The 27,008-nt window shown below is 43.8% G+C and overlaps 1 protein-coding gene across 55 annotated transcripts in view, besides 4 other annotated features; it reads right to left on the bottom strand.

Moving 5' to 3' along the window:
- The window catches only part of MAP4K4 (mitogen-activated protein kinase kinase kinase kinase 4), a 196,984-nt gene extending 179,093 nt beyond the window's left edge, over positions 1 to 17,891 (bottom strand). For 36 of the 55 annotated variants that reach the window (NR_169279.1, NR_169280.1, NR_169281.1 and 33 more), the window contains exons 1-2: positions 17,461 to 17,891; positions 17,060 to 17,125 (exon numbers count right to left, since the gene is read on the bottom strand). Coding sequence is in view for 51 of the 55 variants with exons in the window: in NM_001395002.1 (NP_001381931.1) it covers positions 17,060 to 17,125; positions 17,461 to 17,517 (123 nt within the window). In the remaining 4 variants the exon portion in view is untranslated. Of the gene's footprint in view, positions 1 to 17,059; positions 17,334 to 17,460 lie in introns of those variants that run through there. The other 19 variants (NM_001384579.1, NM_001384555.1, NM_001384572.1 and 16 more) reach the window with 1 other exon arrangement.
- Positions 11,417 to 11,486: an enhancer, noted in NCBI's record as "active region_16304". NCBI's record gives its function as "activates an Ori minimal core promoter by ATAC-STARR-seq in GM12878 lymphoblastoid cells {active_cell/tissue: GM12878}" and the evidence as "EXISTENCE:reporter gene assay evidence [ECO:0000049][PMID:35858748]".
- Positions 11,797 to 11,856: an enhancer, noted in NCBI's record as "active region_16303". NCBI's record gives its function as "activates an Ori minimal core promoter by ATAC-STARR-seq in GM12878 lymphoblastoid cells {active_cell/tissue: GM12878}" and the evidence as "EXISTENCE:reporter gene assay evidence [ECO:0000049][PMID:35858748]".
- Positions 17,708 to 17,857: a silencer, noted in NCBI's record as "silent region_11828". NCBI's record gives its function as "represses an Ori minimal core promoter by ATAC-STARR-seq in GM12878 lymphoblastoid cells {active_cell/tissue: GM12878}" and the evidence as "EXISTENCE:reporter gene assay evidence [ECO:0000049][PMID:35858748]".
- Positions 18,258 to 18,417: a silencer, noted in NCBI's record as "silent region_11827". NCBI's record gives its function as "represses an Ori minimal core promoter by ATAC-STARR-seq in GM12878 lymphoblastoid cells {active_cell/tissue: GM12878}" and the evidence as "EXISTENCE:reporter gene assay evidence [ECO:0000049][PMID:35858748]".

Genomic DNA, 27,008 nt, shown 5'->3' with positions numbered 1-27,008 from the left:
CAGACTTTTGGATTAGAGATATTATACCATGAAATATAATATGAACATTCCAAAATCCAAAAAAATCTGAACTACTTCTGGTCCCAAGCATTTCAGATAAGGGATATTCTACCTGTGTTAGTTAATAAATCATTAGCACTTTAGAGTAAAGTTATTTTCTGTGTCTTCAGTACAAGAAAAACTTTACAGTATTGTTATGGGCTGAAACCGTGATCCCCCAAAAATTACTGACATGTTGAAACTCTCATCTCCAGTACCTCAGAAAGTGATTGAGACTTAGAAACAAGGCCTTTTGAAGAAGTGACTGAATTAAAATAAGGCTGTTAGAGTGAACCTTAATCCAATCTGACTGCTGTCCTTGTAAGAAGAAATCTGGACACAGACACCAGGGAGGGGTGCACAAAAGGCAAGGCTAAGAAGGTGGCCATTTGCAAATTAGAAAAAGGAGCCTCAGGAAAAACCAACTCTGCCAACACCTCAATCTTGGACTTCTGTCCTCTAGAACTATGAGAAAATGACTTATATTACTGAAGCCCCCAGCCTGTGACCTTTTGTTATGGCAGCCCTAACAGACTAATGCAGGTATGGAGTTCCCATACATTTGTTCTTTTGGGTCTTGAAGCCTCTTATTTTTACCACATTCTCTGAATAGTGAAAAATTATTGAGAGATTCATAGAAGAAAAGTTGGGTGGCAAGAATTTCTTAAGCTGGTTTTTTTAACTATGAGAAGGTATCTTAGTTCCATTTATGTGACTGATGAGTTCCATGATTCCCGAAGTGGACTGCAGCCTATGGAACAAATCTTAGATACATTCTTTTACCAGAGAGTTTGAACAAGATAATCTTCAAGCCTCCTCCTAGCCCCAACATTTACGTATCAGAGTTTATAGGGAAATTATCAGAATGTTCAAATGAATTCTGCACATGATTTAGAAAGGAATGTTAATTTCCATTTTGATTTAGAGTTGGCTGGTATCAGTGTCAAACTTCTTAGGAAGGCTCATTTTCTCACGGTTTTTTGATAACGGGGAAGATAAGGTGCTTATAGTTATTTGGAGAAAGTAAAATTATTATGATTAGTTATATAACATAATTGTAGAATGTTATTTCTCACTGTGTAGGGAGGGGTCTTCTAGCCGTTTTTGTCAAACAGCCTCTTTTGAAATGTAAGAAAATTATGTTTCTTAACTATATAAATATGTTGCATAAAGATGGCATAACTTTCTCAAAGTTAATTTCTCAACAAGTTTCTTCACAAGTACAGGAAATGCATTTTAGCGAAAACTTCCTTCCCTATAATTTATTCTAAACAGGTTGCTTGGACAAAATCTGTGTTCAGGTAGTTCCTCTTTTACTAACATTTAATAAATAGTTGAAAAAAATTACATGAAAATGGTTTTGAAAGTATAAGAATAACAACTATTAAACTAAACCTGAAAAGGCTTGATTGTTTAGCATTCCGCAGCACCATTAGACTTCCAACCTATCTTAAGTCACCACTGTTCCTTGAAGCAATGCTCTCTGGATTGGATTTGAGGTTTGTCTCTATTGTATGAGTGAGGTTCTAAGACAAAGATATTAAAATATTGGCTCTTGTCATAAGGCCATATGAGGTTCCAGATTGTAAATGAAATGAAAAACCCCCTAGGTATTTGTTATTTTTGGTAGGATCAGATGATGGGAAATTAGAAAATTTTTTTTTTGAGATGGAGTCTCGCTCTGTCACCCAGGCTGGAGTGCAGTGGCGCGACCTCAGCTCACTGCTACCTCCGTCTCCCGGGTTCCAGCAATTCTCCTGCCTCAGCCTCCCAAGTAGCTGGGATTACAGGCACACCCACCATGCCCATCTAATTTTTGTATTTTTAGTAGAGACGGGGTTTCGCCATGCTGGTGAGGCTAGTCTTGAATTCCTGACCTCAAGCAATCCACCTGCCCCAGCCTCCCAAAGTGCTGGGATTACAGGCCTGAGCCATCGCACCCAGCATTTTTTTTTTTTTTTTTAGACAAGGTCTCACTCTGTCACCCCAGGCTGGAGTGCAGTGGCGTGATCTCAGCTCACTGCAACCTCTGCCTCCTGAGTTCAAGCAATTCTCATGCCTCAGCCTCCCAAGTAGCTGGGATTACAGGCATGCGCCACCGTGCCCAGCTCATTTTTTTTGTACTTTTAGTAGAGATGAGTTTCACCATTTGGCCAGCCTGGTCTTGAACTCCTGACCTCAAAAGATCCGCCCACCTAAGCCTCCCAAAGTGCTGGGACTACAGGAATGAGCCACTGCACTCAGCAGAGGGATTAAAAATTTTTTAATTGATCACTGTCAAACTGGAACACTGGCATAGCAAAGTACCTTTTTACTTAAATATTTTAAGCACAATCAAGATTTTGGTTTAAGGCCAGGCGCAGTGGTTCACACCTGTAATCCCAGCACTTTGGGAGGCCGAGGAGGTGGGTGGATCACCTGAGGTCAGGAGTTTGAGATCAGTCTGGCCAACATGATGAAACCCCGTCTCTACTAAAAATACAAAAATTAGCCAAGGTGTGGTGGCAGGTACCTGTAATTCCAGCTACTCAGGAGGCTGAGGCACGAGAACTGCCTGAATCTGGGAGGTGGAGGTTGCAGTGAGCCAAGATGGTGCCCACTGCACTCCAACTTGGGTGACAGAGTGAGACTCTGTCTCAAAAAAAAAAAAAAAAAGATTTTGGTTTAACAGAAACTTTTAATTAATCAACCCTTGAAGTTCAAAGTGAACTATCAATGTTCCAAGGCCAGGATCTTTGATATTCCTCAACAAACAAATTTCTCGGCCTGGCGCAGTGGCTCACACCTGTAATCCCTGCACGTGGAGAGGCCGAGATGGGTGTATCACCTGAGATCAGGAGTTTGAGACCAGCCTGGCCAACATGGTGAAAATCCATCTCTACTAAAAATAAATTAGCCAGGCATGGTGGTACACACCTGTAATCCCAGCTACTCAGGAGGTTGAGGCACAAGAATCACTTGAACCTGGGAGATGGAGGTTGCAGTGAGCCAAGATCATGCTACTGCACTCCAGCCTGGGTGACAGAGGGAGATACTGTCTCAAAAAAAAATAAAATAAAAAATAGGGCCAGGCACAGTGGCTCACGCCTATAATCCCAGCACTTTGGGAGGCCAAGGCAGGCAGATCACGAGGTCAGGAGATCAAGACCATCCTGGCTAACACGGTGAAACCCCGTCTCTACTAAAAATACAAAAAATTCGCCGGGCATGGTGGCCTGCGCCTGTAGTCCCAGCTACTCGGGAGGCTGAGGCAGGAGAATCACTTGAACCCGGGAGGCAGAGGTTGCAGTGAGCCGAGATCGCACCACTGTACTCCAGCCTGAGTGACAGAGCGACACTCCATCTCAAAAAAATAAAAATAAATAAATAATAAATAAAAGTGAAATGTATACTAAAAAACTATAAGGCCAAGTGGGTAGAAATGGAGGTATACCATAGTAAGGTATAATATCATTTGAAGGTAGACTGTGGTAAGTTAAAAACATGTGCTACAAACCTAAAGCAACCTATAAAACAACCTAAGTAGAAGTTATAGGTAATAAGTCAGCAAAAGGAATCATTAAAAAGCAAAAAAAAAAAAAAAAAGGGCAAGACAGACTACCAATGAGATCAAGTCCTTAGCTGATAGAGCCAGCAAGAAAATAAACAGTATAAAGACAAGAAAAAAATAAATAAGCATCCTATTTAAAATTCAACATTTAAGTTGCTTTTTTCATATAACAATAAGAATATATTTTCAGCTAATTAACTAGAAAACTAATGAAACGTCTAATACAATCTTGGAGTTGATGACTGACAAAGCCCTTGCTTATACAAAATAATGCAAAAAGAATTTCACACTTTGAAAGCCAGCATACTAATGGGACTACAAAGTCCCATTTTCCAGTATGATTAGAGAATGGTTAGAAATATCTCACTCAACATCAAAAAAAAACCACAACATCATTTTACCTAATCGGATTAGAAAAATAAAATTCTCTTTTGTCCATATTATCAAAGAGCAAGGCCAGGCCCAATGGCTCACGCCTGTAATCCCAGCACTTTGGGAGGCCAAGGCAGGTAGATCACTTGAGGTCAGGATTTGGAGACCAGCCTCATCAACACGGTGAAAACCCATCTCTACTAAAAATACAAAAATTAGCCAGGCATGGTGCTGCATGCCTGTAATCCCAGCTACATGACAGGCTGAGGCAGGAGAATTGCTTGAACCCTGGAGGCAGAGGTTGCAGCTCTGTCTTAAAAAAAAAAGCAAAAAAACTTTATCTTTTAATTATTTTGTTATATAACCGGAACTACAGAAACTTATTAAAAACTATGTGAATATCACAAACCTGTACACCATTGTTCCCATTTTACAGAGGTCCCTTTCAGCCCTAACGTCGTGGGGACCAGCAGCTGAACAAAGCAGTCTCCCCATGTGTAATGTAGGGCAGAATGTGGCCTACTTCAGGCCAGCTGTTTACCAAATATTATTCCAGATATTGCTCATAAGACAATCTGAAGCCTGACGAAGGCCCCTCCTTCACCCATATGAGAATGTTCAGGATGCTAACTTCTAACTGATACAGGAGATTCAAATGCAAGGAGCACCAAACAGTGCAGATGTAGGAGGCAAGGCTTCCTGAGAGACAGCTGGCTCAAGGCAAACTGAATGAAGACAGTCAATTACCATAATCAATGGAACACACCCCTCCTATCTTTATTCAAAGTAGTATTAACCAAGATGATGAATCATCAGCTCAGTGGGTTTTAACTCCTAGCAGACTGTTCACTGCTCCACATATATCTATGCCTCATCTAGAGCATCTGAATTGAAATCATAAAGCTTCACTGTGCATACCACCGTATCTGTTTTATCAGCTCTAACTTAGCTGTCATGTCACACACTCCCATAGGCCCCTGCTATTCCCCATCTGCAATATCATCCTCTTTAACTGTGTGTTCATTTTCTGCCTTACACATTAGGCTATACGCTACACAAGGGCATAAGCTGACTGCCTTTCTTGTCCATTGTCACCAGTGAGCAAGCCTCGCATGGTGCCTGGCACATATTATAAACACATTAAGTACTAGATAAATAAATAAAGGAAATCTTGACTAGCAGAGTAGGCTCAAAATATCTGTAGACAGTGAAACAAGAAACAGAAACCAAGCCTTGAAATCACTGAAGAGTAAAGAGCTGAACACCTGTCAGATTTTTCTGGGAATCAAGGAAGGCAACAAGAATAAATGAGAAAATGTGTACATATAGAGAACTAAGATGCTCTAATATGCCAAGTTCAAACTGGAATGGCCCTAGAATCTGAGTCATGCCCTAGCAGGTGAATGAATACACCCAGTGAATTGTGTCACTTAAATGTACACACTCAACCTCAGGCAATATTCAACCGGGATCTCCAACAAATTATTAAGTACCTTGATGCACAGCCCTAACTCAGATAATATTCAGTCTTTGACATACCTCTCAAAATTGAAGTCATAAAACTACACACCAATTACACATAAAGAGTCTCAGAAAAACTCAGGGGGAGAAGGGCTCTGGTAGTCAACAGTATTCTGTCACTGTCACAGCAAGTAAGAACGAAAGCTCTGCAGTATAAGAATTTTCAAAAAATAAACTATTACTTAACTTAATTTTATGTAATCTGAATGCAGTAAGGCCCTAACAAAAGGTATCACAAAAAAACTTAAGAATAAAATATAAGAAAAATACTCTGAAAAATACACTTGAAACAAATGAGCAAACTTATTCGCCCAAAACACATAGCAAATCATTTATTTAACTTGGGATACATCCTTCTGACCAAAGATAACATATTTTGCTTTGTTTTTTCAAAATCCAGGCAAGACAATAGCTTCTGCTTGAGATAAAGGAAAACTGCAGTCTAGCATCACATGGTAAATAGCTGGCTATTATACAAGGGAATTCCTCCCAAAAATAGAAGGAAAAACTAGTTTGGCCTAGTTCCTACTACCAGTGACCTCGCTGATAGTGAATAGTTTGTCTTCATAGCGATAAGAAAGAAACTGTATTCTTGTTTTTAAAAATGACTTAAAGCCAGGCACAGTGGCTCACGCCTGTAATCCCAGCACTTTGGGAGGCCGAGGCGGGCAGATCACCTGAGGTGAGGAGTTCGAGACTAGCCTTGCCAACAGGGCGAAACCCCATCTCTACTAAAAATGCAAAAATTAGCTGGGCGTGGTAGCTCACACTTGTAATCTCAGCTACTTGGGAGTCTGAAGCAGGAGAATCACTTGAACCCAGGAGGTGGAGGCTGCAGTGAGCCAAGATTGTGCCACTGCACTCCAGCCTGGGCGACAGAGTGAGGCTCCATCTCAAAATATAAATAAATAAACTCACAGTAATGACTAATAATAAGACTGGGGAAGATAAAGGATTCAGGGACACAAAACTTCAACTGCTTTTCCCTCATCCAGACAGTCACTCAGGGTCATCAGAACCAAGTGTTTGGTTACACTAAAGGGAAACAAGAAGACCCAAACAGATAAATTCCCCCTCCTTTCTCCCTTCTGTGGATGACTTAAGGTGCAGTTCCATCAACATCATGCCTATCAATTGGTGAACAGGTAACAAATGTGGTACAACCATAGCCTAAAATTCAGCAATAAAAAGGAACAAAGAACCACACTGCTACATGGTCGAACCTCAAAAACATTAAACACAGGCGACCATACGTTGTAGGATTCCATTTAAATGAAATGTTCAAAAAAGGCAAATTAATACTGGCAGATTATTGGTTGCCTGGGGCTCTGGGTTGGAACAGGGATTAACTGTAAATCACTACGAGGAATCTAACTGGCATGATCAAAGTGTTCCAATATTGATTTGTGGTGATGGTTGTGCCACTCAGTAAATTTACTAAATATCACTGAAATGTAAGCTTGAATTGGGTTAATTTCATAATACAGAAAACATACTTCAATAAAGCTGCTTTAAAAAAAAAATACTGCTGAACAAACTCCTCTATCTCTCAAAGGTTTGTTCAAAGCAGCAGCCAGCATGGTAATTAATACGTACCATGGCACTGCTTGGCATCCTGCCTCACTTTCCTTATTCCTCATCCTCATCTCCCTCGGCTTGCACCTCCCAAATTAAGTATCTCTGACAGAGGTCACACAGTAAGGTCACAGAGGTTACGCACTGCTTACCCTTGTTTTCATTTTTTATTTGTTGTTATTGTTATTGTTTCATTGGTATTGTTATTGTTCTGTTGGTATTGTTATTGTTCTGGATGAAAAGAAACAAACACCTGAGCAAAACCCTAAGTCCAAAATCAAAGACACAACTTTTGGTTAAACATGGTGGACTGATCACATGAGTTATTAAGAATTAATTCCCATAAAAATGATTTTAAAGTAAACAAAAGAATAAAGATATAAAGGGGAAAAGAGGTAGTAGAGATCATTTCTATCAGGTTTTGACAGCTAAAAAGTGGATGGTCAGAGGCCGAGGTAGGCAGACCACTTTAGTCCAGTAACCTGGGCAAGATGGTCAAATACCATCTCTACTAAAAATTTTAAAAATTAGCTGGACGTGGGCTGGGCGCGATGGCTCACACCTGTAATCCCAGCACTTAGAGAGGCCGAGGTGGGCGGATCACCAGGTCAGGAGATAAGAGACTATCCTGGCTAACACGGTGAAACCCCATCTCTACTAAAAATACAAAAAAAAAAAAAAAATTAGCCAGGCGTGGTGGCAGACACCTATAGTCCCATCTAACCGGGAAGCTGAGGCAGGAGAATGGCGTGAACCCGGGAGGCAGAACTTGCAGTGAGCCGAGATTGCACCACTGCACTCCAGCCTGGGCGACAAAGCGAGACTCCGTCTCAAAAAAAAAAAAAAACAAAAAAAAAAAACTTAGCTGGACATGGTGGTGCACACCTGTAGTCCCAGCTATTCAAGAGGCTGATGTGGGAAGTTTGCTTGAGCCCAGGAGGTTGAGGCTGCAGTGAGCTGTGATCACACCACTGTACTGCAGCCTGGGGGACAGAGCAAAACTCTGTCTCAAAAGACACAGACAGACAGGCAGACCAGGGGCAGTGGTTCATGCCTGTAATCCCAGCACTTTGAGAGGCCCAGGCAGGGGGATCACCTGAGGTCAGGAGTTCGATAACAGCCTGGCCAACATAGTCAAACCCCATTTCTACTAAACGTACAAATATTAGCCGAGCATGGTGGTCCGCACCTGCAGTCCCAGCTACTTGGGAGGCTGAGGCAAGAGAATTGCTTGTACCCACAAGGCGGAGGCTACAGTAAGCCAAGATGGCGCCACTGCACTCCAGCCTAAGCAACAGTGAGACTGTCTCAAAAAAAAAAAAAAAAAAGATAAAATAAAAAGTGGATGGAGTAGTAACTAAGAGGTAAAAATTACAACCTAAGTGCCTACTAAAGGATACCAAAAAGAAGTGAGACAGTTGGACCTACAAAACCCTGACAAGGTCATCATTTGGAATAAACCAATACCAAGTGAGGTGCAAGGCCAAAATCAGAACTGATGAAAGTTTGCATATTTAGTGGTTGAAAGCCCCAGGTCCCCTTTCTCTGCCTTACACAGTCTGGTAACTGCCTCACATCACTCCATACCCACAGGAAACCAGAGATTTAGTCCCTAAAGAAATCGAAAGCAGTTATGTTCCAGACAAGAGAAGATGAGGCAGTGATAAGAAAAAGGGATTTTCAGCCATACAAGGACTTAAAACCTTAATACCCATATACCCTTTCTTTTAAAACTACTAGAGGATGTGCTTCAGGAAAGTAAGATAGTAAACCAAAAAGGAAGACTGCAGTATCCAGGAAACAGACATTCCAGGACAATAATAGCTACATGCCAGGTCCAGGGGCAACCATACCTGCATAGCTATGAGGAAACTCCAGGGAGAAAAAATTGAAATCAACAGGTTATCTTGCAACAATAAATTATCTGACGTGTGGTGTTAAATTAAGCATTTGGAAAATGTGATAAAGACTAAACTTTGTTAGGCATTTGTTATACCTTTTAGGGTATCTGAGGAGGAAGGTGATGATAGGTACAAAGAAAACTAAGCAAATGAAAAACTAAAAGCGATGTGGGGGCAGGGGTGTTGTTTAAAAAAGGAAATGTAATCGTATGAGACTGTTTAGCTCACATATAAATGGTATTTACATAGTCATGATAAAAGAAACAACTATCACTTTAACCCAAAATTATGGTATGCCCACTTAAGGGAGGCAGCAAGTATAGGAGTTAAATATTCAACTACTATTGAACTAACTAGTTCAATAACTACAACTACTGCTAGAGGACGTCAATAAATGTATAAAACTGATAAATGAACTAGCCACATAAGTACATAATTTACAAATATAGCAATAAATTTCAGATGTAGCAGCTAAAAGCACTGAAAACATGCTTCTGGAGAACAGGATGACTCTGACTTTTGGTATGAGCGCTTTAGTATCATTTGATTATAACTATCGATTCATAACTGGTAAGTTAAGGCCCTATTTATCATATGAAGGATTTTTTAAAGTTATAATGTAAAAGTGGGGTTTTTCTTTCATTTATTTAAATTTAATAGGATAACTTGTTCATATTTAGCCATATCTGAGACAGTTCCAAAGCACAGGGGTCAAAGACGTTTTGGCACTAAAGCATAAAGCTGTAAGCAGCACCTGCTGTAGCTCCCCAATGTTCAAAGGGTGGGAGAACCAAATACTAGGCACAAACAACAGTCCTCAATTCTCCAGCTCACTAACACACCAACCACCCACAGTTTACTAAGAGCCCTGCTACAAATTCAATCCTGCCAGTTCAGTGTTCCTCAAAGTGTGGTCTGCTGACCACAGCAAGATCATTTCTGAAATTAAAAGTATATAAAAACTTTTATATCACCTGAGTTTCTTATACTTTTTTAAAAAGAAAACAAAAACAAAAACTTTTACAGCAATTTGACATGGGAAAATGTCTTTTGATTCTACGAGTAAAAAAAGTAGACTGATATTCTATATGTCTACCTTTTCATTTCACTTTTCATTTGTTTTTACTGTAATTTAAAGCACAGAGAAGCCCTGCTGATGAGGTTGAGCCACTTAAAATGAACACATTGCAGTATGTGCTGTTTCCATGTGTCAGTGCATTCATTGTGTCTGAACACAAGTGTGCTGGGCAGGGAACCCAGGGAGATGCAGACAACACAGAATGTATGACTGACATCCCACAGCTGGCATTTTGTGTCCATCCCCCTGTTTTTCTTGAGTTCCATAAGGGTAGATATATCATCGGCTTCATTTACCACTGTGTATCTAACTCTCAGAACAGGGCCCAGCACACATCCACAGTACCTGCATGAAACCACCCTTATATGGTTAATCGTTTTTCACTTTTGTCTCCCCAATTTAGTTATACCTAATGCTATCTAGATAACAAAGTTTGTAAGAGTCCAGTTTTTAAAACGGGATGTCCTAAAACTTATCATTGTGATCATTCCTTAGAGATTCTTACAGACAAAAACTACCTCCCAATGAATCACTTTATTAATTACTCAACCCAAGAGGCAGCTTCTCTTCTGAATAATACTCACCAACTCTTATTACTGAACCTGCTCCATAACAAAAGAACAAATTCTGTTTGGTGAGCAGTGATATAACATTATAAAACCTAACAACCATTGCTGCCACAATGGTCACTGGTAATAAATATAAGATTACCTTGGCCTTCTCCATTTTCTTCCTAGTCATCTTTCCCTGTATGTCTAAAAACTTTACCCTGACTCGAGTTCGAGACCAGCCTGGCCAATATGGTGAAACCCCATCTCTACTAAAAATACAAAAATTAGCCAGGCTTGGTGGCATGCACCTGTAGTCCCAGCTACTCAGGAGAGTCGCTTGAACCTGGGAGGCAGAGCTTGCAGTGGGCCGAGATCACACCACTGCACTCCAGCCTGGGCGACAGAGCGAGACACCATCTCAAAAAAAAAAAAAAAAAAAAAAATATATATATATATATATATATATATACACACACACACACACACACATAAAATATTGGTTAAGAAAAAAGGCAAAATACGAGTTGAGTTTGCAGCTAGGCAAATAAATGTACATTTATCACAAAGTTTCAAGCAGTAAGGAGTTAAAAACCCATCATCAGCAGGGTTTTGTTTGGTGGTTGGCTTTTCTGTAGAGCTTTTGATGTTTGAGTTAGTAAAACAGTTTTTGAAAGTAAGGGTTGAAACTCTTTGAGAGCAGGGCTTGCTCAACAGGGCTGGCTTCCTCCCACCTTGTCCAAGTCCAGAATCTTCCACATGAAGGAAATCTATGTCTCAGAACAAGCCTGAACATGCCTCTCAGTGGCAGATCAGCTGACACAATCTCCTCCTAATGAAAACATCTGGTTCTACAAAATTCATTTTGCCCCAGTGGATGTCTTTACCTCCAATTAAGAACGAGAGATGCTACACTTAAAAGATAACACTTAGAGAATCCCTCACAAAAGTTTAAGTACTTGCTCCAAAATGCAAATTTTTTTATTTTATTTTTTCTTTTTGGAGGAGTCTGGCTCTGTCACCCAGGCTAGAGTGCAGTGGTGCTATCTCGGCTCACTTCAACCTCCACCTCCTGGGGAAGTTCAAGCAATTCTTCTGCCTCAGCCTCCTGGGTAGCTGGGACTAGAGGCACGCGCCACCACGCCCGGCTAATTTTTCTATTTTTAGTAGAGATGGGGTTTCACCATGTTGACAGGCTGGTCTTGAACTCCTGACTTTGTTATCCACCCGCCTCGGCCTCCCAAAATGCTGGGATTACAGGTGTGAGCCACCGTGCCCGGCCCCTAATGATTTTTAAAAGCCAGACAATCTATATGGCACTTTACCACTGAGCAATCGAAAGCAATTTTAGCACTTTAACCACCCCACCCCCGCCTTTTTTTTTTTTTTTTTTTTTGAGACAGAGTCTCATTCTGTTGCCCAGGCTGGAGTGCAGTGCCATGATCTCAGTTCTCTGCAACCTCCACCTCCTAGGTTCAAGCGATTCTCCCACCTCAGCCTCCCAAGTGGCTGGGATTACAGGCGTACACCACCACGCCTGGCTACTTTTTATATTTTTAGTAGAGATGGGGTTTTGCCATGTTGGCTAGGCTGGTCTCCAACTCCTGACCTCAGGTGATCCGCCCGTCTCAGCCTCCCAAAGTGCTGGGAATCCCAAAGCTCCTCCTAATACTGTGGGCAAACCGTGTACCCACTTAAAGGGACATACCAAAGCCTGCAGAGAACGAGTGAATTCAACATGTTAAACCTAGCAAAGAGTAATGCCCAAGTATCCACCCCAACCTCTCCTCCTCTCTACCACCACTGCCACTATCCCGCCTCGGCCTTCACCTCCTGTCACTGGACCACTGCCCAAGGCCAACCATTTTACCAGCTCCTTCCCAACACACATCTGGATCAAGTCCCCTACTCTAAGGGATCCCCAATTCCAACAAAATCTTTCAGTGACTCCTCAATGCTTAAAGAAGATGTCTCTCCTCAAGTCCAAATAATACCTCCTTGAAATTCCCACTACTCCCTAACCTTTCTACCATTCCCAAAGGTCACTCTTAGCCCTACTGCCACACACAAACACCTCACCTCTCCCCTCCCTTTCTTCAATAAATGAGGGGTCTAACATGAGCACAGTGTCAAATGGGCATCGAATGAGCAAACTCTTAGCGTTAGCTCCCCTTACCATCAAGGTCTTTGGGCCTAGGGTACCCTTGTCCTCAATCTCCAAGGTCCACATTGTACCCTTCCTCCAATGACAAGATCAGAATGGGTCAGTCTTCCACAAAATCTATGGTCCCTCCTTTGAGTGAACCTTGATTTCAGACATTTTACCTGCTGGATTCTAAACTCCCTGACTTCCACGTTACTGTTACCGGATTTCCCCTCTGTCAGTCCTTCCAAGACTCAGAATTGTCCTCAGGCTGGCAATCTTCTTTTCTTTTCTTTTTTTTGAGACAGAGTTTCACTCTTGTTGCCCAGGCTGGAGTGCAATGGCACAATCTCGGCTCACTGCAACTTTCACTTCCCAGGTTCAAGTGACTCTCCTGTCTCAGCCTCCTGAGTAGCCGGGATTACAGGCACCCCCCACTACACCCGGCTAATTTTTCGGTATTTTTAGTAGAAACGGGGTTTCACCATGTTGGCCAGGCTGGTCTCGAACTCCTGACCTCAAGTGATCCGCCCACCTGCGCCTCTCAAAGTGCTGGGATTTACAAGCGTAAGCCACCGCGTCCGGTTGACAATCTTTTATTCAAGACATTTGGAACACCAGCCATCACATGCTCACAAAATGCAAAATAACAGTAGTTACCCCAAGAACACAAAAATGGTCAAATAAATATTTAAAATAACAATAAGGCCGGGTGCAGTGGCTCATGCCTGTATACAATCCCAGCATTTTGGGAGGCCAAGGCGTGCAGATCACTTGAGGCCAGGAGTTCAAGACCAGCCTAGCCAACATGGTGAAAACCCATCTCTATATACAAAAATTAGCTGGACGTGATGGCACGCACTTGTAATCCCAACTACTCAGGAGGCTGAGGCAGGAGAATCACTTGAACCCGGGAGACGGAGGTTACAGTGAGTAGAGATGGTGCCACTGCACTCCAGCCTGGGCAACAGAGCAAACCTCCGTCTCAAAACAAAATAACAATAAAATCCAAAATAACATGGAAACAAACTTGATTTATTTCTGGTTTTAATTTTTCACACTATCATTCTCCTCACTGATCATACCAGACACTTCTCTTATAAATATATGGTACTCTGAATGTAACCTTGTGAAGAGAAATTTACAATTTTAAGTTTATGAGTATCCGTCTCTCAAAAACCTAAGGGTGAAAATAAATTTCTCTAAACAGAATACACCCCGTTTTTCACCTCCTTCTTTTAAGATGAAGTTACATACTGTTCAACTATACCAGACCATTTACCACTGTTGTCAGAGACACAGAAAATTAGAAGTTATCCCCAAAAAACTGGATCAAGTCCCCTACTCTCAGGGATCCCCAATTCCAACAAAACCTTTCAGTGGCTCCTCAATGCTTAAAGAAGATGTCTCTCCTCAAGTCCAAATAACATCTCCTTGAAATTCCCACTACTCCCTAACCTTTCTACCATTCCCAAAGGTCACTCTTAGCCCTACTGCCACACACACCCCTCCCCCTCCCTTTCTTCCATAAATGAGGGGTCTACCATTAGCACAGTTTTGCAGGAGAGTCGTTCGCCCCAAAAGAAGCTATTTCATACGACATATCAAATCTCAGAAAACTCCCTCTTTTCAACTCACTCACTTCATGTAAATATAGTTGCCTCAAAATAAGCAACATCTGCGCTAATGAAAAATAGAAAATATGACACTAAAATAAATTAGGACAAGTTGTTCAGCTTACAGATTTTTTTTACCTGAAATTATGTTTAAAAATAAAGACCTTTTTATAAATAACAATTCAGCAACAAGTATTTCTCAAACTTTAATGCTATTCATCCTAAAGGATGTTTAGCAGCAATAAACAAACTCTAAAGTGTTAATAATGTAATCCCAAATCTACCACAAGCAAATCATACCAACAAAAATCCTAAATTAACTCCTACACATAATTGTAAATGGTTCTAGAAATTAAATAGTTAAAAAGAGGAAAAAAAGAGATGTTCTGCTATTTTCACCACTTCTAAGATTGAAGTTCCCAGTACCCGCTTGTAAACATTAAAGAACTTGTTATAGTAAAAAAAAAAAAAAACACATTTTACTGATGTATGAGACAATCAAGAAAACGTTAATAGTGAATATATGACATTTTTCTAAGTGTGATAACAACAATGTGATTGTGTAAAAAAGAAACATTCTAAAGTATTTACAGCTGAAATAGCATTTGGGGTTTACATTAAAATAAAGGAGGAAAAGAAGAATACAGATGAGAAAAGATTAGTCATCTGCTGATAAACTGAGCTCTCTAGTCTTTATGTTTGAAATTTTCCATAATAATATAAAAATGTAACTGCTTATGAGCAAAATCTCAGGCACTATTTTGTTCTGGACTGTAGGCAACTTTTGCACAGATTTAATTCCCTAGGTTTGCATAATTAGAGAAATTCTCAACTGTACCGACTTTGTAGTCAGAGAGCTGTGTCATGCCAGTATCCCAAATACCTACCAAACGTAGCTAGCGCTCAGCAAACCTAGTTCAAAAGCTCGGGAAGGTTGCGGGGAATGGAACCAAAATGGCAATGAGGGGAAATAACAATGAACCTGACTAAACTCTTACCATAAACAGCTCCCACCTCTTAAAACCAATAAAGACAAACTGGGGTTTCATTCTTTCCTTTCTCTTAAGGTTTAAAGACTATATCGCCTTCTAGCTTACTTCTCTGCCCTTAACATCCATGCTGACCAAGTAAGACACAAACAATCCAACTACTGTGTAGCCAGGTCAAAAACAAGCTCTGGCTAATTCACTTGGAAGACTACAATCACCATTTAATTTGGCGAGAAAAAACTGGGTTAGAAAAAAAATGACTGGTGCTTAAACAAACAACAGACCGGGGAGAATGTCTTTTAGCCAGTTACCAACCACTCAGTGAGTTGCAACACAATCTTTTCCAAAATTTTCCAAAGCCTTCCAAATTCAGTTGAGCCGGGCAAGCTGAGTTAACGGGGCTCTCTTTCAAATTCAAAAATCTGGCCCCGGCCCGAACAGTTAACCAACAAAACACAAGCTAATACACTTGAGATCACCTAAGAATACTGACCCAAGTTCGGACCACAGTCCAGTACAGTACACTACCCAGGCTAGAAGTCTAGGCTAAGGAGAGGCGTTCAAGTGATAGATAAACTCTACTCACAACGCAGAAAAGAGACAATAAGATCCACACTTAATCTAGCCTAAGAAAAGGTCTACAGTCGGCTTCCAACCCCCCCAACTCCACCCATTTTTAATGAGACAATGACAATTCTTCATGGTGAACCACAGAGCCCTGCTTCCCTAACCTTGTACCGACTCTAACAGAACACTCCCCCAGTGCAGATTAAACTTTTAGAAAACGTTCAGTATTGAGAAACAAATTAAGACAGGAAAAATTTAACATTCCGTTCTGAATTTTCAAGGCCTGCGCCTCCATTCCCTACACATCTTTCATAATCTCTAGACTGTACAATGTATAAAATGAACACTGTTAGTCACATCAGGTGTCAGCTACTCAGCGCAGACTCAGTCTCCAGATTTGCTAGTTTCATTTATCGCTGGGGTGGAGGGTGGGTGTTAAAATTTTGAAAAAAGAGAAAGACCTGGGTGGGTGTAAACCAGGGCATCCTCTATATTCTCTTCGCTCTCTGTCATTTCTGTTTCAATTACACAGCTGTCAAACAGGTTATTCCTGGAATTCAGATTTTATAATCCCCACACTGTAATTCTTCCTGCTGCTGTTGCCCAAACACACACTCCTCCCTGCTTCCCCAAAATACGTATCCATCAATAGAAAGGATGACAACCACAGTTATAAAGTATTCCCAGGTAACGCCAAACTCCCCACCTTGAGCAACTGGCAAGCACTGAGTGGAGGCTGAAACATGATGACAATTTTCACGATGGCCAAAGCAGTGGTTTAGGATCGTCAGAGGCAAGGCCCGCCTCCACTGTATTTCAATTTACACACAAACTCAGAAGGCCGGATTTGGGGAAAAAAAGAAAAAATTCAGGTTGTCTTATTTTTAAAAAATGCTTTTCCATTTTATCGAAGTAAAGTGCATGCCTAAGAGTGTAGCTTATTTCCTTATCTCAAAGCCAGGAAATGAGGTCTTTTAAGGCCAGTCTGAATATAAACTCGGTGTGCAAAAACAGAGGGACTGCAAGGCGAAAGAAACCCCTCTCCCAACTTTGGCCAAGCGGCGTGGCCTCCAGTCAGCAGCATGTTTATCACCCTCTCCTCGTCCCCCAATAAGAAGTTTCCACATGCCACGGGAAACAAAGAAGGCGCCCACACCGACCTTATAGACTTGTCCATAGGTGCCATTTCCAACCACTTCCACCAGCTCAAAAATCCCAGCAGGATCCTGGAGAGGAAGGAGGGGAGGGGTTATCATTTAAAAGAAGCCAAAAAAATGAATAAATCAAGCAAGGCAGTTGGAGAGAAAAGGCGGTGACAAAAGAGGTGGGCTTCGCCCCGCGCGGTCCCCCAGCGCCCGGGGGTCGCGCGGCGGGCTCGGGGCGTGGGGGCGGTAGAGGGTAGCGCCCGCCCCGCACCAGCCCGCACAGGAAGACAAAGGGGCCGCCGCGCCCCGCGGCTCTGCCCACGGCGGCGCCCGAGCGCCCGGCCGACCTGGGCGCGGCCCCGGCTGCCGGCTGCCGGCTGCCCGCTCCCCGCGCGCCCGCTCGCGGGCCCACTCACCCGCAGGGAGGAGAGGTCGATGTCCACCAGACTTTTTGCAGGGGAGTCGTTCGCCATTTTCCCTTTTTGCCACCAAAAAACAAATAACAATAAATGTCTCTGTCGCTCTGTGTATCTCAGCCGCAGACCAGGCCGCCGACCGCGCTCCTCGCGCGGCAGCCGAGCCGGCCCGGTACTCTCCTCGCGGGGCCGCGGGCGGCGGCGGCGGGCTCGGCTGCGCTCTCGGGCCGCTCGGGGCTCTCTGCCGGCCGGGCCGCGCGGAGGGCGGACGGAGCGTGCACGGGCGGCGGCGCTCACACCATGGCGCGGGGCCGGCCGTCAGGCCCCCGGGCGTCGCCCGCCGCCTCAGGCCCCGGCGCCCGCGCCCCGCGCCGCGCGCCTCGAGGACGGGCCCGGAGCGTGGGGCCGCGGCGGCGCCGAGTTGAGCGAGTGAGCGCGAGGCAGCGAGACAAAGATAACCCGGGAGGCGGAGGCGGAGGCGGGGAGCGAGGTGGGGAGGGAGGGGGCGGCGGCGGCGCTGGAGGAGGAGAAACGGGACACCAAAAATATATTCTGAGGAGAGAGAAAACAGCTCCCCCTTTCCTCCTCAGGCAGGAAAAACCGGCGGAAACGCACTCACACCCCGAGCCCTGCCGGGTAGGGCGCGGGCCGAGGCGCCCGCGCGGCGTGAATATTCATCAGGGGTGGGGCTCGAACAATGGCCGCGCCGGCGGGCAGCGCGGGCAGCGGTCCCGACACGACGCCCGGCGCCCAGGGTGCGGCCTCCGCGCTCGACCCCGCACGGCGCTCCCGAAAACTGCAGGAGCGGGGAGGAAGCGGGCTGGGATTTCCCCGGGGAGGAGCTGGGGTGGGGAAACGCCCCTACCTCGCGCTAACAACAAATGACACGAAACTGAGCTGGACCGACACTAAGAGGCCATGGACCCTCGCGTCTCCCAGGGCAAGGGTGTGTCCCGCCGGCCGCGTCCCGGCTCTAGAGGGACCCGAACCCGGTGTTGCCGAGCGGAGGAGGGGCCTCCCTCGATCCTCGCCCCCTCCTCGCCCCATTCGCCCCATCCCCCACTCTCCCACACCCTAGAGAGGAGACCCTTAAGTCCCTCGTTTCCGGCTTCCCTGCACGGTTTTCTTTTCCTTTCTCTGCTTTTGCAGGCTAAATGTGTGGTACGGTTGTGGTTGTAGTTGTGGGATTCGCTGAGCATCGCTGGGCTGCCCGGCCATATCCAAAACAGCTCCTGTAATTGTCTGGCGCTGCGCTCCTGGCTGCGCTCGGTAGGTGAGCACTGTGTTTGGGGCCCTTAGTACCAACCCGCATTTTGTAACCTGGAGATCACTAAGGATCAACCAACAGGTTTCTTCCGGCAACCTCGGAAGCCAGTCGGTAGTTAGGCACTTTAATGCCAGTGAATCAACAGTCATTTATATCGCATTCCTCCACCGTCCAAAAACTTTCAGTGGTTCCCTGTTACCTGACAGGTGTTCTCAAAACGTGAGTGCTTCAGGCAAAGTGCCAATTGCCTGGCCCTGCCTCCCGAGTTCTCGTTTCAGGAGGTCTGCAATGGGCCTGAGAATGTGCATGTGTAAGTTCTCAGTGTAGCTAACGTCGCTGTTACAGGGATCACTCGTTGACAACAGTGGCCTCCGGCTATTCATGATTGGATTTTCATAAACATCACCATCATCATCTACCAATTCTTATGCACATACTGTGTCTCCCCCACACAAACGCGTTGTGCCGAGTGCTTTACACACAGCACTCTATTTACAGCCTTGAAGGAATGTTATCCTCCTTTTAGGTAAGGAAAGCAAAGTACTGAAAGATAAGGAGTATGTCCAAATTCCTTAAAAGCACAGCCTGGAAGTGGAGCAGGGATTTTCACCAGGTTAGCCTGTTCCCAAAATCCAGATCTCTGATTCAGCCAAGTTAGCTCTACCCAGAATATGTATAGCACTATCCTGCTTCCCAACAGTTTGGTTTCTGAAATTTTTGACTATGAGAATCCCTGGTAAGGGTAAAATATATAGAGGGGCTCCTGGTATCCATTTGTAAGGAAAATTATAGTAACCAAGTATTCCTATGAATGTATTGGTGCTTTTAGATAATTTTGGTTTTTGTCAGCAGCAATGTCATTATCTATGAGTGTAAATAAAATAATTTACTCAGAGAACTAGACAGAAACACATCTGAACTTTCAGGCTATCTTACTATTGATAACATTGTTTTTTGTTTGTTTGTTTGTTTTGAGACAGAATCTTGCTCTGTCACCCAAGCTGGAGTGCAGTGGAGTGCTCTCAGCTCACTGCAACCTCTGCCTCCTGGGTTCCAGCAATTCTCCTGCCTCAGCCTCCCCAGTAGCTGGGACTACAGGTGCCTGCCACCATGCCCAGCTAATTTTTTATTTTTAGTAGAGACAGGGTTTCACCATGTTGGCCAGGCTGGTCTCGAACTCCTGACCTCAGGTGATCTGCCCACCTCGGCTTCCCAAAGTGCTGGATTACAGGCATGAGCCACCATACCTGGCCTATTGCTAACATTTTAAGTGTTTATTATTAATAATAGATGATACAACGTGCTAAGTCCTTCACATGTATTATCTCATTATTCTGCTCTTAATTCCAAATGACACTCCATTATTCCCACTTTATATGTTAGAAAACCAGCCCTTAAAAAAGTTAAGTAACTTGCTCACTATGCACAACTAGACCTGATGCAGAAACGCCAGGGCCCCTTCCAAAGCAGCCTCCTTCCACAGATTCAACTCCAAACCCATGACATTGAAGCCCACCTCACACCAACCCTTCCTCTCAATCTATCCAAATTCCTTCATCACCTCAAGCCCAACTCAAAATCATCTCTTCCTTCTCCTACAGGCTTTCTTTAAATCTGTCTCTCTCCTAAGCTGCTATGTCTATATCACCATTGTGACCATTATCTCCCACTTTAGAGTCATTACCTATTCTGGAAGTGCCTACACAGTGCAAGGCGCTGGCTTAGCCATTGCCTGGGATATCAGGAAGATCAAGACAGCCTACCCTCAAAGAGCTTACACACTGATAATAGGCATAAGACAGCTTCACAAATAACCATAGTACAAAGCAGAACAGTGTAGATTTTAGCAAGATGGAAAGAGTACTAAACAGGTCTAGTGGAAAGTATGCTGGATTTGGGCAAAATTGAACTGGGTTTGAACCCTAGTTATTGGTCAGTTGTGCAACCTGGCATGTGTTTCTTCTGAGCCTCCCTTTCCTCCTCTGCATACCAGATGAAGACTGGAAATGAGAAGAACAAGCAAGAGGCAAGAGCCTATGCCAGGGTAATAAAGGGTGACAGGAGATATTAATATAAGAGGTCTTGAGACAGCAGATTCTCTAAGGCTTGGCATCTGATACGATGCCAGAAGGCAGTGTAGAAAAGAAGGTAAGAGATTTGTTTGTGGTTCAGAGCTTGGGAGGATGTCCACACTTGGGAGGATGCTGTCACAACAGAGTAAAGGATGGGAATTACTAAATGGTAGCAATAAAGGAAGATTTAGTTTTGAACCCAAAACCAAAGTTAATTACCTTTTCATGCAGGAGCAGTGTACACATGCCCAGCTTGAAACTCCACTCTAGCGCCCAGCATAGGGGCCATGTTTTCAATCAACACCCATGTATTAGCTTGGGCTGCCATTGCAAAATACTATATAGCCTGGGTGGCTCAAATAACAGAAAATTGTTTTCTTGCAGTTCTGGAGGCTAGAAGTCCAAGATCAGAGTTCTCACCAAATCGATTTCTGGTGAGGGTTCTCTTTCTGGCTAGCAGGCAGCCTCCTTCTTACTATGTTTACACATGGCCTTTCCTCAGCACGCTTGAGGAGAGAGAATGAGTTCTCTGGTGTCTCTTATGAGGCACTAATCCTATCCATCAGGGCCCCACCCTTAAGACCTTGCTTAACCTTAATTACTTCCTTAGAGGCCCTGTCTCCAAACACAGCCACACTAGGGATTCAAGCTTCAACAAATGAATGGAGGGATTGGGGGAGGGGACACAAGTGCTCAGTTCATAAAAAGCTGTGGGTAGTACATGATGCCAGGAGGTAGTCTTGTCACTGCCTTTGTCCTTAATAATCTGTTGAGGACACAAAATAAATCCACCCAAAAGGACAATCAAGGTGATACAGTGGAAAATAAATACCAATTTGACATTTTACATAGGGAGGAAAACAATGTAGCTTGCTTGGACAAAGAATGAGAAGTTAAAAGAATGAGGAGACTGGCCCCACTGGGCAGCGGACTCAGTTCAGAGAACCCTGAGAAATAGAGCAAGATGGCTGGGCACAGTGGCTCACGCCTGTAATCCCAGCACTTTGGGATGCCGAAGCAGGCAGATCACTTGAGCCCAGGAGTTCGAGACCAACCTGGCCAACATGACAAAACCCTATCTCTACTAAAAATACAAAAAATTAGCCAGGCCTGGTGGTGGTTCGCACCTGTAGTCCCAGCTACTTGGGAGGCTGAGGCAAGAAAATCGCTTGAACCCAGAAGGTAGAGGTTGCAGTGAGCCAAGATTGCACCACTACACTGCACTCCAGCCTGGGCGATGGAGCAAGACTCCGTCAAAAAAAAAAAAAAAAAAAAAGGAAGGAAGGAAGGCTGGCCATGCGGGATGGCTCATGCCTATAATCCCAGCACTTTGGGAGGCTGAGGCGGGTGGATCATAAGGTCAGGAGTTCGAGACCAGCCTAGTCAATATGGTGAAACTCTGTCTCGACTAAAAATACAAAAATTAGCCAGGAGTGGTGGTGCGTGCCTGTAGTCCCAGCTACTCAGGAGGCTGAGGCAGAAGAATTGCTTGAACCCGGGAGGCAGAGGTTGCAGTGAGCCGAGATCGTGCCACTGCACTCCAGCCTCGGCAACAGAGCGAGACTCCATTGACAGAGGGAGGGAGGGAGAGAGAGAGAGAGAGAAAGAAGGAAAGCAAGAAAGCGAGACATGTTAGGTGGAACCAGAAAGCAAAGCTGAGGCAGGGACCCAGTGTCACAATTGAAAACAGAACCCAGATTATCAATTAGATCAATTGAGAAACAGCCTAGCCTTGGCTCCCCAGAGTTTGGATGGCAGATGAGCTTCTCCTGAGCTCGGCAGGCCACGAGCTATGAATGCTTATCTTCCTGGGATACAATGGACCAAACTGGCAGTCCTCTCGCACCCACACACAAATTCCAGGGAGAGCTTAATCATGCAAGAGCCTTAAGTGAACAGCAACAACCTCCTGTCCATCACTTAGTGCCTAGGTTTTACTTTGTTGAAAAATGTGGTGGGAAATAGATTTTCAACCTCAAAATGGGGCAGGGTAAGGAGGGCAGAGGAGTGCCTACATATAACTCATTGACTTGGGTCAACTGGAAATAAATAATGAAAGTATTGATGAGCAAGCGTAATGAGGCAAACAAGCAAGGAAATGTGGTGGGTTCAGAAAAAGCTTAAATGGGAGGAGTGCAGACCTGATTTTTTATTCACTGGTTGACAACGTGTTGAGCAAATGCTTATCCTCTCTGCCCCTCCGTTTTCTAACATGTGAGATTAGGGGATTAGATGAGATGATCGAAAGGTCCTCTGAGAGCCTTTGAGACACTGATCTGTCCGAACCTGGCCTCAACCGTATGATGGTTCATATCTCTTAGCCAGGGTGGAAGAGAGTGGCATGAGTGATGAAAGTTGTTACTGGTACATGGATAGTACTGTAGATTTGGCAGCCAGGTTCAGCCCTTGAAAGACCATCTATGACCATTGGTAGAGTCAAAGTCTTTTTAACTAGTGCCTCAGTTGAATTAAAAGGAAGCAACTACTCTAGTGCACAACAGGATGGAAGGCGTGGGATGCAGAAACAGATCAAAAGGCAGGAAAAGAAGAAGCAGACAGGGCAGCTCCAACACCCTACCCTAACCACCAGAGCCATGGACGTTGCCACGTCTGCCAAGAGGAAGTTAGCTTAGTTTGGGTCTCTCAAAGACAGATCCTGAGACAAGGATTTTGGTACAGTTTATTTGGGAGATGATCCCAGAAGCACAAGTCAAAGAGAAGGGAAAGTGAAAAATGGAATGGGGATGAGCTAGTGAGGGTTAATGAGCAGGTTACCACTGCAGGCAGCTGGGCTAGATGAACTTAGCTTGTCAGAAAACTTTTTTAAAAACAGGTTTACCAAGTATCTGTGTTCATGGAAAAGGTTTTTGTGAACATTTTATAAAAAACAGAATAAGCTGGGCATGGTGGCTCACGCCTGTAATCCTAACACTTTGGGAGGCTGAGGCAGGAAGATCGCTTGAGCCCAGGAGTTCCAGACAACCTGGGCAAGGTGGTGACACCCGCCACATACAATTTTTTTTTTTAATTAGCTGGGCATGGTGGTGCACACCTGTAGTCCCAGCTACTCAGGAGGATGAGGCAGGAGGATCCTTTGAGCCCAGAAATTCAGGACAGCAATGAGCTATGTCTGCACCACTGCATTCCAGCCTGGGCAACAAAGCAAGACCGCATCTTAAGAAAAAAAAAAAGAATAGTATTTTAGCGTGTTTTTCTTGTTGTTGTTGTTGTTTGGGTTTTTTGTTGTTTTGTTTGTTGAGACAGGGTCTCTGTCGCCCAGGCTGGAGTGCAGTGGCACAATCGTGGTTAACTGTAGCCTCAACCTCCTGGGGTCAGGCAGTCCTCCCACCTCAGCCTCCCGAGTAGTTGGAACTACAGGTGCGCGGCTCCACACCCGACTAATTTTTGTATTTTTTGGTAAAGACAGGATTTTACTATGTTGCCCAGGCTGGTCATGAACTCCTGGGCTCAAGTGAGCTACCCACATGAGCCTTCCCAAGTGCTGGGATTACAGGCGTGAGCCACCGCGCCTGGCCCAGAATAGTATTTTAAATGCAGAGGAACTTGCTATTTATAGAAGACCTATTTGAAACATTTTATAAGGAGCATTACTGTTTCTTAATTTATTCTTTTTATAAATTTATATAAATTTTTATATATCAGGATTACTTAAGTTAAATAGTGTAAAGTCCTTTACCTGTGAAATCCTCAAAGGGCCTCAAAAATTGGGTCAGAGATAGCCCCAGCTTTGGAAATCTAGATGGGATTGTAGGAAGTAGTTGGGCAAAGCTGGATGAGAATGTTAATGATTGTCAGGTTTGTCTGGTTTTGTTAGGTGCTTGGGTGAAGGGAATCAGGGACTCTGCCAAGGAAAGGCTGAGCTAGACCTGCTAGCTAAGGAGATAATGGACTTTTATTCACACTTGATCAAATATTTGTGTCCTCACCCTGTGCGGCTAAATCTCAAAATTGACCAGACCAGTGGTCCTCTCTTATGCTCAGACATTTAATATATCACAACTGAAATAGAATCATGAGTTGGAACATCATGTGTCAGATCCTGGCCAGCATGCATAAGAGCCCTCATTGAAGAGGAGGTTCAATCATAATCAGGTTGATCCCTTTAAAAATGAATGAACCACAAGGCTCCATTAGTGATACTGTAAGCTCGCCTATCCTATTGATTTACAGTTTTCAGTTAATTATAGTGATTCCAATCTCAAAACCTTCTAAAATATGTCCTATAACAAAAGATTAAGTGGTGACATACCAACGATAAACTATGAACTGAAAATGCCATATTTATAAATTACAGACTTTGAGGTCTTTCTTGCTGTTTTAAATAAGCATAATTATCTTCATCTTCTTTTCCATATCTTCATTCTATATTCTGTGGGCAACTAGTTAGAAAAGGCAGTAAACACTGGGGGAAGAGACCAGCAGGACTGACATGGGTCACCTGGATTTGTCCTAATTCTTGGCTACAGACAACTCCAGGAGGTTATTTGGGAGTTGAGGAGTAGGGAGGTGTTGGAGAAGGGGAAGAATTGGATGAGAAAGTGTGTCTGGGCCAGGCGCAGTGGCTTATGCCTGTAACTTTGGGAGGCTGAGGGGGCGGATCTCCTGAGGTCAGGAGTTTGAGACCAGCCTGGCCAACATGGTAAAACCCCATCTCTACTAAAAAGACAAAAATTAGCCGGGCATGGTGGCGGGCGCCCGTAATCCCAGCTACTCGGGAGGCTGAGGCAGGAGAATTGCTTGAACCCAGTAAGTCGAGGTTGCAATGAGCTGAGATCGCGCCATTGCACTCCAGCCTGGGTGACAAAAGCGAAACTCTGTCTCAAAAAAAAAAAAAAGAAAAGAAAACAAAGTGTGTCTGGATGGGTACAAAGTCTACAACTCCTGGAAATGCAACTCAGGGTCACAAAAAAGAAGGGTTACTTATTCTCACAGCATTGCATCTTTTATTGCATTGGAACTTATCACTATTTGCTGCCTGGGTTGTAAGAATATATATATTCAGATTTGAAATAGTACTTGTGGAGAGTTGTCACACAAGCATCATCTTTAGAATCATAGCTTAGCTCTTTAGTTACACAGATAAGTGAAAATGCAGAGGAAGCCGGATGTCAGTAGACAGCAAGAGGAATTAAAGATGGAATGATCTGGACATGGCCTCAACATATGCCACTGATAAATGTCACCACTCATTTTGAAATTTCCAGGAACTGAGAACAAGTCAGGCACTCAGAAGAGAGAACCAGTTATCTAGAAAAAATTTCAAAGCTATTTTTCAGAACTATTAATTGTTTAGAAAGAATCAGACCTCTAAGAATGTCCCTTTCTGCCCTGCCATTCTATGTAGAGTGGATGAAAAATAGAATATGTGTTCTGTTGTACAAACTGTGTTCCTCAGTGCCCCAAGGTTCCCTAGAGATGGATCAGGTCCTCCTGAATATTCCAGGGGAGGTCTGAGGAGCTAGTAATAGGACTGCTGAGCTCACTGTCTGGCCCTCCCTTCTTCCACCACACAAGTTCTGCTTTTTTAGATTTTATAAATTAGAAATGTTCATAATATTTTTTAAGATGAGATTTCCACTGCTAAGAGAAATTTTAAAACCCTGAGTTAAGTGTACTTGAAACCAAGACTTACATAATCACATGGCAGAGATATCTATTAAATATATGTTTGATGAGCTCAGAACTAAGCAACACTTTTGTATTAGGCTGTTCTTGTTTGCTGCAAAGAAATACCCAAGACTGGGTAATTTCTAAGGAGATTTAATTGGCTGACAGTTCTGCAGGCTGTACAAGCATGATGCTGACATCACTGGGCTTCTGGGGAGGCCTCAGGGAGCTTTTATTCATGGCAGAAAGCGAAGTAGAAGCAGGCACATCACATGGCAAAAGCAGGAGCAAGAGAGAGTGGGGGAGAGGTGCAACACATGTTTATCTTATTATTATTGTTATTTATTATTACTATTTTGGAGACAGAATCTCACTCTCACCCAGGCTGGAGTGCAGTGGCACGATCTCAGCTCACTGCAGTCTCTGCTTCCTGGGTTCAAGCGATTCTCTTGCCTCAGCCTCCCAAGTAGCTGGGACCACAGGTGTGCATGCCATCACACCCGGCTAATTTTTTTTTTTTTTTTTTTTCAAATTAGAGACAGGGTTTCACCATGTTCACCATGTTGCCCAGGCTGGTCTCA

Source organism: Homo sapiens, chromosome 2 (assembly GCF_000001405.40).
Source record: "Homo sapiens chromosome 2, GRCh38.p14 Primary Assembly".
NCBI classification, from domain to species: Eukaryota; Metazoa; Chordata; class Mammalia; order Primates; family Hominidae; genus Homo; species Homo sapiens.
The sequence above is the reverse complement of the archived record's forward strand: the minus strand, read 5'-3'. Positions and strand labels throughout refer to the sequence as shown.